Source organism: Homo sapiens, chromosome 2, assembly GCF_000001405.40.
Source record: "Homo sapiens chromosome 2, GRCh38.p14 Primary Assembly".
Taxonomy (NCBI): domain Eukaryota; kingdom Metazoa; phylum Chordata; class Mammalia; order Primates; family Hominidae; genus Homo; species Homo sapiens.
The window spans coordinates 105,301,399-105,314,731 of record NC_000002.12 but is presented as its reverse complement, the minus strand read 5'-3'; the positions used below and the strand labels follow the sequence as shown (position 1 = coordinate 105,314,731).

Sequence of the window (13,333 nt, the reverse complement as noted above, 5' to 3'; positions counted from 1 at the left end):
GGTGATCCACCTGCCTTGGCCTCCCAACATGCTGGGATTACAGGCATGAGACACCAAACCCTGCCTGTTTTCAATTCTTCATCACTATTCTTGTTTTATGGTACTGGCAAAGACTCCTAATACAGTGTTGAACTGAGATCGTGTATTACTTTCTAGGGCTGCCGTAAGAAAGTACTACAGGTGGCTGGGCGCGGTGGCTCACGCCTGTAATCCCAGCACTTTGGGAGGCTGAGACAGGTGGATCATGAGGTCAGGAGATCGAGACCATCCTGGCTAACACGGTGAAACCCTGTCTCTACTAAAAATACAAAAAATTAGCCAGGCGTGGTGGCAGGCGCCTGTAGTCCCAGCTACTCGGGAGGCTGAGGCAGGAGAATGGCGTGAACCCGGGAGGTGGAGCTTGCAGTGAGCCGAGATCACAACACTGCACTCCAGCCTGGGCGACAGAGCGAGACTGTCTCAAAAAAAAAAAAAAAAAAAAAGAGAAAGTACTACAGGCTGGGTACCTTAAACAACAGAAATATTACTTCAGAGTTTTGGAGGGTAGAAATCTGAGAGCAAGGTCTGGTAACTTCAGACATTCCTTAGCTTATAGATCTCCTTCCTCTTTCTGTGTCTTCACTTGTCTTTTCTCTGTATGTATCTGTCTCTGTGTACAAATTTCCCCTTTTTATAAGGACACAGTCATATTTGATTAGAGCTCACCCTAAATGACTCTGATCATCTTATTTCCACATAAGGTCCCATTCATGGGTACTGGGGGTTAGGACTTCAGCATGATTGGGGGAGAGTCATTTCAACCCATAACAGATGGCAGATTCTTGTCTTGTTCCTTGTTTCAAAAGGAAAGATTTTAAAATTTAATTTAATTTAATTTAATTTATTAATTTATTTTATTTAATGCTTTTTCTGAATCTTTTGAAATAGTTTTTTCTTTTAATTTATAAATGTGGTGAGCTAAACAGATTTTATTTCCTTAAACCAATACTGCATCCCAACTTAGCCATATTGCATTTTTAATATATATTTGTGGATTTCGTGTGCTAATATTTAGTGTTTTTGCAGGTTTATTTGTGAGTAAGAATGATCTGTGATTTTTCTTTTTTCCTGTATCCTTATCTGGCTTGAATATCAAAGTTTTACTTTCTACTACTTTCATAAAATAAAGTAAGGATATGTTCCCTCTTTTATTTATCTTTTTATCCTTAGAAACATTTATTATGTGAAATTGGAATTAGGTGGTTCCTAAGTGTTTAGTGGAACTCGCTAGGAAATCCATCTGGACCCAGTGCTTGCTTTGTAGGATAGACAGTGTCTATTAAATCAGAATGTAGCCAGTGCTCTGTGCTGCCCATAAACTCATCCCAGTCAGCTCTCCTGGCCTTGGCCTTGTGCTGTGAAAAGAAGTGGGACCTCTAGAAGCCTACATAGCTTTTGTAACAGGTCTCCAAGTAAAGAACACAGAAACTTCCTTTGAAACTTATGGGTAATATAAAATCTGTGGCGCCCACCCCATGTGTAGCCGGAAAGAACAGAATTGTCATTTTTGAACTGAGGTTTAGGAAACTTCCTAAGGAGTAAGGGAAGATGCCAAAAGTCATCAGTTCTCTTTTTTTTTTGAGACAGAGTTTCACTCTTGTTGCCCAGGCTGGAGTGCAGTGGCGCGATCTCTGCTCACTGCAACCTCCGCTTCCCGGGTTCAAGTGATTCTCCTGCCTCAGCCTCTCAAGTAGCTGGAATTACAGGCATGTGCCATCACGCCTGGCTAATTTTTGTATTTTTAGTAGAAGCAAGGTTTCACCATGTTGGCCAGGCTGGTCTCGAACTCCTGACCTCAGGTGGTCCACCTGCCTCGGCCTCCCAAAGTGCTGGGATTACAGGTGTAAGCCACCATGCCCGGCCAAAAGTCATCAGTTCTTTTAAAGTGATGCCAGATACTGACTAAAAGATAATGTTTCTGTGTACATTTGTAGAAAAAGATTTGTATTTTTACATTAGCATCTTTAAAGATGCTGACTAAGATTCTGACTATCACCAGTGGCAGAATCTTTAAAATGACAATGTGCATATTCTTAACCTGGTAGGAAATAATTACTAATATTTTTATTTTGACCCTTAGCATGTATTGCTTTATACTATTACTGATTTATTTTTCTAGTCCTATTTCCTTAATAGGACGGGGAGACTCTTAGGAAGTGGGATTGTGTCTTGTAATTGTTTAGTTTTTTGCAAACTTAGAGGTGCTTGCTGCATATGCAAGGTTAGCTTAATTAAATTATGGTCCTTGAGCATCCTAGCATTTTCCAATCTCTTCCCTACCTGGGTATGTATTTTGAAATTTTAAGAAAACATTAAAATGTTGATCTTTTAAATTATTATAATCATACTTTTAAAGTGAATTTTTTAAATTTAATATTCTTATTTTTTTTAAAAATAGAGACCAAGTCTCAATATTTTGCCCAGGCTGGTCTTGAACTCTTGGGCACAAGTGATCTTCCTGCCTGGGCCTCTCAAAGTGTTAGGATTATAGGTAAGCCTTAAAGTGAAGTTCTAACAAAAAGTTTAAATTTTCGATCATTTTGAGATCACACAGTAAAGTATGAATTTTACACCTTAGAGAAACGTTTCCTTTTGAAACATTACCATGTTGAAACTTCTCTGATTCAGAACCCCAGCAAGTTATATTTAATAGAGGTGTGGCCTAAAGTTTATCTTTTTATGATTCATATTTTATCTAAGTAAATATATCATGTGAATTAGATCATGGAGAGAATTTTCCCACTGCTTAAAAAAAATAGTTTTTTAAATTAATTTTTTTTTTTTGAGATGGAGTTTTGCTCCTGTCACCCAGGCTGGAGTGCAGTGGTACGATCTCGGCTCACTGCACCCTCTGCCTCCCAGTTCAAGCGATTCTCCTGCCTCAGCCTCCTGAATAGCTGGAATTACAGGTGCCCGCCACCATGCCTGGCTAACTTTTTTTTGTGTGTGTATTTTTAGTAGAGACGGGGTTTTGCCATGTTGGGCAGGCTGGTCTTGAACTCCTGACCTCAGGTGATCCGCCTGCCTCAGCCTCCCAAAATGGTGGGATTACAGGTGTGAGCCACCACTCCTAGCCAATTTTTTTTTCTTTTTTCTTTTTTTTTCTGTGTGAAAGCATCTCACACTGTTTCCCAGGCTGGAGAGCGGTGGTGCAATCATGGCTCACTGAAGCCGCAAACCACTGGGCTCAAGCAACCCTCCTACCTCAGCCTCCTGAGGAGGAGGGAATACAGGTGTGCCCCACCAGGTCTGGCTAAGTTTTTATATTTTTTTTGTAGAGACAGGGTTAAGGATAAGTCATTTTTAAGTGCTAGCATGTTACTTCTTCAGCTTTCATTTACCTCCATGTAATTCTGCATTATTACCATTTAATTACCAAAGCAAGTCCTTAATTTAAAGGCCTATAATAGGAAGCTTATCTTTAGCAAGGCTTGAATAACAGTTTACTAGATAATGAAACAATATTGCATTTGTTTTTAAATATTATAGAGTTATGACTTTTTAGTAAACCATATGTTTTTTTGTTTTTTGTTTTTTTTTTTTTTTTACAGCTCTCTCTCCCTCTCCCCTTCTCTATCTACCCCAGGATTTAGACTAAATATGAGGCGTTTGATTCTTTCTATAATATTCTTTACTGCAAATGTGTTTAGTTTATCCCTTATGCTAACTGAAGACAGGGGCTGGAATTATGAATATTATACTTTTAAGAAGCTAAATAAAAGGAGTTTGATTGTAGGTGCCCAGAGTTTGTTTCTCTATTCCTTCCGCAAAGGGAGACACAATTTATATTTTAAATGGCAGAACTGCTTACTCCTGCCATTTAAAAAAGACAACCCTGATTGATTAATCAATGAAGGAAGAAGTATTTTGTATTACTTCACTTTCACTAACTTAGATGTCTGGAAGCTGACATTTCAATATCTGGGTTTTACTCATTAGCTCTTAAATGGAGAAAAAAATGTTGTCTAGGTGGGTTTTGGTGGTTATGTTTGGTTGGGACAAATACATGATGTTGTTTAAGAGCTGTTTGTGCCAGAGACTATTTGTAGAAGCCTGCAAGAGTTCTGCACTCGGCCTCACCTGGGATTCTGGGGATGTTCCCACAGCCCCGAGGTAGATGGACATGATTCCTTCTCTGTGGTGCCTTTAGAACCTCCCTCTACACTTCCCCCAGCTCTTTTCCATAGTTTCTGTGAAGATGAGCTCCCGTAGGTGAGTGTGAAGATGTCTTAGGGGTGGGGCAGGTGTGTGAGTGTGTGTTCTGGCTTATGATGCAGGCTGTGTTTTGGCGGAGGTGAACAGGTTACCCATATCTGAGGACAGAAGACAGCATAGTCTAATCTCTTGGTGCCCAGCTTGGGAAATAAACACCTGAAGCAAGCTGGTAGTTTGAGAGAGGAGTGAGAGCTGATCCAGACTGGGAGGGAATCATAGTATTTATGATGAGATCCAAAAGTTTGAGTGCTGTGTGCCAGCTGTCCGCATTTTATATGAGGTCACTTACTTAATCGTCCAACAATCCTATGAAGTAGGTACCGTTATTCTCATTTCACAGATGAGGCAGTTGAGGCTGGAATAGCCAAGTGTCCATTCCAGCTGCTGTAACAAACTACCATACACTAGGTAATTAATAGATAATAGAAATGTATTGCTTACCGTTCATGGAGGCTGGGAAGTCCAAGATTAAGGCATGGTAGGCTCAGTGTTTGGTGAGGGCCCATCCCTCAGGGGTGGTGCCTTGCAGCTGCCTCCTCACATAGTGGATGGAAGGAACAAATAAGCTCTCTGGGGCCTCTTTAATAAGGGCACTAATGCCATTCATAAGGGCTCCACCCTCATGACCTAATCACCTCCCCACCTCCCAACACTACCACTCTGGGGATTAAGTTCCAACATATGAATTTTAGGGGGACACAGACATTCTGACCATAGCACCAAGTAATTTGCTCAAGTGATGGGAAGAAAACAGGAAGGACTGATGTGTCTACAGACAAGCCTCCTCCTCAACCCTGGGGTATCCTCCCTCCTGGGGGTTTTGTAGAGCTAAGGAAGGGGGCTGGAGTCTCACTTGTGTGTAGCTGTCATTGCCCCCATGGATGGGGGCAGACACAAAATTGTAGAATTCCAAATTTTCTATTTGAAAGGCACCAAAGAAGTTCTCTGATTCCTTCCCTTCCCTGATGCGTGAACCTTTCTTGAATATTTCTGAGAGGTCTTCCCTGCTTTGCTGGAATGCCTCCAAGTATTAGGAACTTAAGCTCTCATGAAGCAGCACTGTTCCATGTTCAGACAACTTGAGATGAGGAAGTGACAGTGATAGCAGCCTTTCACTTCAAGCTCTCTGAACATGCAGCAGTGCTGACGCAAGCCCAGCCAGCTGCCCTGCAGCTCCCGTCATTCTCTGCAGTCCTCTTTCCAGCTCTCTGATCCCCTGCCCTGCTCCCGCTCACAGGGACTGTGCCTTTGAGTTTGCTTCTGGCTGCCTGAGAAGTCAGAAAGGCCACCTTGCCTGATCTTCTCCCTGTGACTTTGTGGAGTGTGAAGCCACAGTTCTCTGCAGAAGATGAAGTAGGAGGCGACGGGCTAGTGTGTGGGAAAGTCTCACTTCCAATGGGAGCCAGGGACCGGTCGGTCCACACATCCACTAAATAGCTCCACTCACCATCTGAAAGCCTTTCGAGATCCGAGGCACACCTTTACTCTCCACATGAATACATTTACTCCGGAGCTGAGGCTGATGCGCCTGCCTTATTGGGAAGAACACAAAGGAATCCAAGGCCTGGCGTCTGCCTCGGTGTTCCTGGCAGGATCCTGTGACTGTGGTTGTGTTCATTGACTAAAGTGCATATTCAAGTAGCTGTAGAAACTCAGGGAAGATCAGTGAGGATCATTTCTGCCTTTTTCAGAAATCCTTTTTGTTTTTTTTTTTAAATGGGGTCTCATTATATTGCCCAGGCTGGCCTCCAGCTCCTGGGGTCAAGCCATCCTCCTGCCTCACAGAAATCCTTTTGTTATGTTGCCCGTGGGTGAATGCATGCATTTGTCTTCTGCCTTCAAGCGTGTCTCCCAGGAGCAATGTGAGGAGGCTCCAGGTGACTCTGTGTGGGGACTGAGCAGGATGGCACGTGATCACAAGCACATACATATGTGTATATGGGTGTGTGTGTGTGTATGTGTCTGTGGTTTTCTTCTTGGGTCTTCTGCTGTCTGATGGGGGAGGTCTGTGGGGAAATGGTTTCTTTCCATTTTTTGATAGCGTGGAATGACTTTCTTTAATGAAAATGACAACTAGGGAATCCACGTATCATTATTGCAGCCTCTGTTTCTGCTTCTTCCTTGTTCCTCTAAAATTAGTTTTCCTCTTTCTCTTCCAGCAGATCAGCCAGTAGACATGATGAGCATCAAAGCCTTTACGCTTGTCTCTGCTGTGGAGCGGGAGCTGCTGATGGGCGACAAGGAGCGCGTCAACATAGAGTGCGTGGAGTGCTGCGGCAGGGACCTCTACGTGGGCACCAACGACTGCTTCGTCTACCACTTCCTGTTGGAGGAGAGGCCAGTGCCTGCTGGGCCAGCCACGTTCACTGCCACCAAACAGCTGCAGAGACACTTGGGCTTCAAGAAGCCCGTGAACGAGCTGCGTGCGGCCTCAGCACTCAACAGGCTGCTGGTGCTGTGTGACAACTCCATCAGCCTGGTCAACATGCTGAACCTCGAGCCAGTGCCTTCGGGGGCCCGCATCAAGGGGGCAGCCACGTTTGCACTGAACGAGAACCCTGTGAGTGGGGACCCCTTCTGTGTAGAAGTTTGCATCATCTCTGTCAAACGCAGAACCATCCAGATGTTTCTGGTGTACGAGGACCGGGTGCAGATCGTCAAGGAGGTGTCGACTGCCGAGCAGCCCCTCGCTGTGGCTGTGGACGGCCACTTCCTGTGTCTGGCTCTGACCACTCAGTACATCATCCACAATTACAGCACAGGCGTCTCCCAGGACCTGTTTCCCTACTGCAGTGAGGAGAGGCCGCCGATCGTCAAGAGGATAGGGAGACAGGAGTTCCTGCTGGCGGGCCCCGGAGGGCTGGGTGAGGAGGATGCATTTGTGCGCCTGATCTTTTTGGGTGGCCTCGGTGACTGCGTGTTGAAACTGGAGAGTGAGATTGGCGCTGTGCAGAATAAATCCTCAGTGACATTGGGCGTGTGTGGCAAGACAGAGGTAGCAGTGCTTGACCAGTGCTTGATGAAATCCAGTTCGATTGTTCTGTGAACGTGGGGTTGGAGTCATAAAACCAGTTTCTTTCACATTAAAGTGGAGCTTGAAGACAGCTCTGGTGGTGTTACCGGGAAGTGGGGATATTCTCAGCCCTTAGTCATCTTGGGAGAAAGATTTTGGCCAAGAGACAATTCAGAGATAGCAGAGAGCTTTCTGAAGGGAAATAGAGAACAGAGAATTTATATGGAGAGAGACAGTACGTTCTGAAAGATGAGGCAGAGTGGGATGCTGAGAGAGTGAGCCAGCAGCCCTGAGAGTTCTGCATCGGGTTTTTATGATGCTGGAGTTTTTCTTGAAGTTCCCACCTCTGTCTTAAAGTTTCTGCCTTTTTCCTTTGTCTAGTTTTCCCGCTTCTGCCTTAAGTCCCCACCTTTTCCTCCCACCTAATTTCTACTCTAAGCTTGTGGGACCCTCTCTTACTAGTAGTTGGTGCACATGTACAGCCGGTGTTGGATGTGAATCCCACCTAATGGCTGCATTGCTCATTACCTCCACCCCAGGAAGGTTGTACAGCGGTTAGGTCCATACTTACTGCACCTGAATGTCTCTTTGGAATTTCTCCTTTACCCTCTTTCCCTCCTCTCTGCTCATATCTAGCATGCATGTTTTGTTTGTTTGTTTTGTTTTGAGACAGAGTCTCGCTTTATTGCCCAGGCTGGAGTGCAGTGGCACAGTATCGGCTCACTGCAACCTCTACCTCCCAGGTTCAAGCGATTCTCCCTGCCTCAACCTTCCAAATAGCTGAGATTTCAGGCATGCACCACCATGCCTGGCTAATTTTTGTATTTTTGGTAGAGATGGGGTTTCACCATGTTGGCCAGGTTGGTCTTGAACTCCTGACCTCAAGGGATCCACCCACCTCGGCCTCCCAAAGTGCTGGGATTACAAGCATCAGCCACCATGCCTGGCCAGCATGCATCTTTTTGATGGTCTCTGGGATGTGGGATTTTCCAGACCTCCCTTTTCTCAGGGGCTCTTCCCTCCCATTCATGTCTAGCTAGCTATCTACCCACTCTTAACAGTGGGAAAATTCTTTTAAGTAAATAACTACAAAAATAACTCTGGGCTGGGCGCAGTGGCTCACGCCTATAATCCCAGCACTTTGGGAGGCCAAAGCAGGTGGATCACCTGTGGTGGGGAGTTCGAGACCATCCTGACCAACATGGAGAAACCCTGTCTCTACTAAAAATACAAAATTAGCCGGGCATGGTGGTGCATGCCTGTAATCCCAGCTACTCAGGAAGCTGAGGCAGGAGAATTGCTTGAACCCAGGAGGCAGCAGTTGCGGTGAGCTGAGATCACGCCATTGCACTCCAGCCTGGGCAGCAAGAGGGAAACTGTCTCAAAAAAAAAAAAACAAAAAACAAAAAACAAAAAACCAGAAAACTCCGTAAGGGTTCCTGGTAAGATTTTCCCACAAGAGTGGGTTGTCATTTGATTGTTTTTGCTCCTCATTCTAAAAAGTTGTTGAGGCTGGGCTAGGTGGCTCACGCCTGTAATCCCAGCACTTTGGGATGCCGAAGCAGGCAGATCACCTGAGGTCAGTAGTTCGAGACCAGCCTGGCCAAAAGGTGAAACCCTATCTCTACTAAAAATACAAAAATTAGCCTGGTGTGGTGGTGGGCACCTGTAATCCCAGCTACTCAGGAGGCTGAGGCAGGAGAATCACTTGGGCGGAGGTTACAGTGAGCTGAGATCGTGCCACTGCACTCCAGCCTGGGTGACAGAGTGAGACTCTGTCTAAAAAAGTAAATAAAATTAATTAATTAATAAAAATAAAAAGGATTTGAGGTAGCTCACTAAGTATTTTCAATGTCATGTCCATAACATTTTCTCTCTGTTATGTCCTGTCATTTCATCCCACCAAAAAGTTTTTTGTAGCTAGCTCCTCAAAAGGGGCTTTAGCAGTGCTCTTATGGACTTAACTAATTCTCTGGACAGCCTTATCAAGATGAAGAATCAGTGCTTTAACCTTAGTGATGTCTCCTGGTATTTTCTTCCAGCCAGGGGTGGCTCATATTAGAGTTAGTGTATGTGTTTATGGTACAGGGATGCTGGTGAGAGCGCATTCCTTTTAACACTGGTATTTTTTATCCTTGGCAAGTTTTTGTATAGTCACCTCATTTCAAATTGCTGAGTGCAAACACATTTTCTTGTGATAACGAATTCCTGTCATGAACTATTTCATGTATATCTCTTGTTTTTCACTTTTTAAAAAAATAGACTTTATTTTTTTAGAGCAGTTTTAGGTTCACAGCAAAACTGAGGGGAAAGTACAGAGAGTTCCTGTAGACCTCCTGCCCTCCCGTTATCCACACGACAGTGGTACAGGGGGCACATCATTAGCACCCGAAGCCCATAGTTTATATTAGGGGCCATGCTCGACAAATGTGTTATGTGTAATGACATGAATCCGCCATTGTAGTGTCATTCATAATCCTTTCACCACCTTAAAAGTCCTTTGTGCTCCACCTGTTCATCCCTCCCTTCCCCTAAGCCCCAGCAACCGCTGATCTTTTTGCTGTTTCCATGGGGTTTTTTCTTTCTTTTCCAGAGTGTGATCTAGTTGGGACCATACAGTATGTAGCCTTTTCAGATTGGCTTCTTTCGCTTAGTCATAGGGTTTTCTCTTTTCCCACCCCCAGAACGGAGTCTCGCTCTGTCGCCCAGGCTGGAGTGCAGTGGTGCCATCTCGGCTCACTGCAACCTCCGCCTCCTGGGTTCAAACGATTCTCCTGCCTTAACCTCCCGAGTAGCTGGGACTATAGGCATGTGCCACCATGCTCAGCTAATTTTTGTGTTCTTAGTAGAGATGGGGTTTCACCATGTTGGCCAGGCTGGTCTTGAACTCCTGACCTCAGGTGATCCACCCGCCTCGGCCTCCCAAAGTGCTGGGATTACAGGCGTGAGCCACTGTGCCCAGCCGGTAATATGCATTTAAGTTTCCTCCATGTCTTTTTATGGCTTCACACCATAGATTCTTACTTTTTGAAGAAAACATTCTTTAGCCCAGCCACATTTTTTTCGGAAAATTGAGGATTTCTGTACTGTGAAATTTTTTATTGTAGAAAACATATGTAAACTTATATAATAAAGAGAATAGCATAATGAACCTGGTAGAGACATCACCTAGCATCAGGCACTCTCAGTTTATACACATCATGCCCTCTGTTTATTTTGAGGCAAATCCCAGACATCATAGCATTTCATCTGTAAACATTTTAGTACATATTTCTAAGTTACAGATACCTAAGAAAACCACAATTCCTAAAAAACCTGACAGTAATTCCTAAATATCAAATATATGTAGATGTGTCATATTTCCCCTATTAGCATACACCATAATCGATGTAAATATATATATACACTTATGTTTAAGTATTTGTATGTTTATTTTTAGTTTGTTTGAATCAGTTTCATACAAGGCCCATACATTGCAATTGATTGATCTGTTACTTTGTTTTAATCTTCAGTTTTCTGCTTCATCTCTTTTTTGCTTTTCTTTAATTTTTTTTGCTGAAGAAATTGGATGGTTTCATGTATGGTGTCCCACAATCTGGATTTTAATGATTTCATTCCCATAGTATTGTTTAACATGCCTCTCTGACCTCTGTGTTTTCTTCAAATAGTAATTAGGAGATTCAGGGTTTTTAAAAATTTGCTTGTTTTGTGGGGAGGCAAGACCACTTCCTAGTGGTGGAGTACCTCTGTCAAGGTTGCATAATGCCTTCATCGCTCTGTAATGTTAGCAGCTGTTGACAGTTACTGCCCAGATCAATTCAGTTACTCAGTTTTCAATATGGGGATCTCTTCTGTCTTACAGAAATGGCTTTCTGAAAAGTATCATTATAAACTCGTGGACGCAAATGTATGTGATGTGCTTGGTTTCATCCATGCCTGGTGGGAGTTTATTCAGGTGGACTTGTCAGTCCCTTTTTCATGCCACTAGAAATCTGATTGCTTCCTTGAGTTTCAGGATATTCCTAGATCACCTCGTACATTTCTTGCCCTGGGTCTGGTTTCAGCCATTTCTCCAAAAAGCCCTGATGTTTACAGACCACAGTCTGGGAGCCAGAGGTGCTTACTGCTCATTGTTTCTAGGCCCTTCTTTCAGTAGACAGTGCTGGGAAGTATGTCTTTTTTATTTTATTTTATTCTTTTAGAAACGAGGTCTTGCTATGTTGCCGAGGCTGGCCTTGAACTCCTGGGCTCAAGCAAGCCTCTCGCCTCAGCTTCCCAGGTAGCTGGGACTATAGGCGTGCACTACTGCACCTGGGTAAAGTATATGTTTGTAAAGATAATTTCATTGTGAAATCATGTTGATAGAACCAATCCATCATTGTACCTGTATCTCCTTTCAACCACACCAAAGATCTGACTTCTCTACTACCTCAACATAATTACTCCTTTGATTTATCCCACAGTACATACAACAGAGTAACAGGACCAGCACTACCGCTCCCACAGTATAATTATTGGAAACTCTGATGGTTTGTGGTTCTTTCTGTCCTTAGGGTATTAGAAATCTAGTCAAATTACTGTGTTTTAAAGTCACTTGGAGTAGTTCTCCTCTGTGTGGTTATGCCATCAACTAGATTTATAGTTAGATTTGTTTGTTTCATTTTACTTTTGATTTTTAGAAGTTGCTTTGGTGTGTTTTTTATTATATAAATGTTTACAAAGTTCCAAGACAGACGGATACAGCAAGATATCGTCAAAGAGGTCTAAGCTCACAGCTAGCTTTTTACCAAGTCTCCCTCTCCCATAGGTAACCTTTATTTTTAGGGTTTATTCTTTCATTTTAAAATACAACATAAATATGTAAATATTTGTATCTCCTCCTTGGCTAAATGGTAGAGTACTTTTCCTCACCTTGCTTTTTTTTTTACTTAATATACTAAAGTGATCACTTCAGAGTGTAGAGGTATTCCTCCTTCATTTTATAGCTGCGCACTATTCTGCTGTGTGGAGGTACCATAATGCGTTCCATCTATTGATGGACATTTGGGGTCTTTTTCAGTCTTTAGCTATTCCTGGGGACTTATATTTGTGTGTATGTGTGTGTGTTTTCAGTGTATCTGTTGGAAAGCTTTCTAGAGATGAGATAGCAGAGTCAAAGTATAAATGTGAGGTATTGCGATAGTCTCCCTTGATAAAGGTTGCACCATTTTATTTTTCCCCAGCAACCTATGAAAGTACCTGTTTCCCTCCAGCTTTGCCAACAGAGGATGTTGTCCAAACTTGTGTGTTTTTGCCAGTCTAGTACATGAGAAATGGTTTTTCAGTGTAGTTTTAATTTCCATTTCTCTTGTTTATGTGCATGGTTGAACATTTTTCACGTTTAAAAGCCATTTACATTTCTTCCGATGGGAATTATCTCTTCTTATCTCTAGGCCTTTTTTTTTTTTTTTTTTTTAGTATTCTTTATATGTTTGAGATACCAACTTCTCTGTTATATAAGTTTCAGGTATTTGTTTCCATATTTTACCGTGAAAAAGCTTTTTGAAAAATTTCGATATGATCTCACCAGGTGTGGTGGCATGTGCTTGTGGTCCCAGCCACAGGAAGCTGAGGCAGGAGGACCGCTTGAGCCCAGGAGTTGGAGGCTGTGTTGCTCTGTAATTGTGCCTGTGACTAGGCACTACACTCCAGCCTGTGCAACACACCAAGACCCCATCTCAAAAAGAAAAAGAAAATTCTGTATAATCAAATGTATCAATATTTTCAGGTATTGCTTCTTGAGTTTGAGTCATAATTAGGAAGATTTCTCTGTCTTCCAGGTTAAAGACAAATTCACCTGTGTTTTCTTCTAGTACCTGTGTGGTTTTTTTTCTTTTTTTTGAGAGAGTCTAGCTCTGTTGCCCAAGCTGGAGTGCAGTGGCACAATCTCGGCTCACTGCAACCTCCACCTCCCGGGTTCAAATGATTCTGCTGCCTTACCCTCCCTAGTAGCTGGGATTACAGGTGGGTGCCATCATTCCTGGCTAATTTTTTGTATTTTTTTGTAGAGACAGGGTTTCAGCATGT

At 43.2% G+C, this 13,333-nt stretch overlaps 1 protein-coding gene across 3 annotated transcripts in view; it reads left to right on the top strand.

Moving 5' to 3' along the window:
• Window positions 1-13,333, top strand: part of TGFBRAP1 (transforming growth factor beta receptor associated protein 1) — an 80,332-nt gene that overhangs the window by 15,004 nt on the left and 51,995 nt on the right. For 2 of the 3 annotated variants that reach the window (NM_001328646.3, NM_004257.6), the window contains exon 2: window positions 6,414-7,118. In NM_001328646.3, coding sequence (NP_001315575.1) covers window positions 6,431-7,118 — 688 coding nt within the window. In that variant the 5' untranslated portion in view covers window positions 6,414-6,430. The remainder of the gene's footprint in view (window positions 1-6,413; window positions 7,119-13,333) is intronic. The other variant, NM_001142621.3, reaches the window with a different exon arrangement.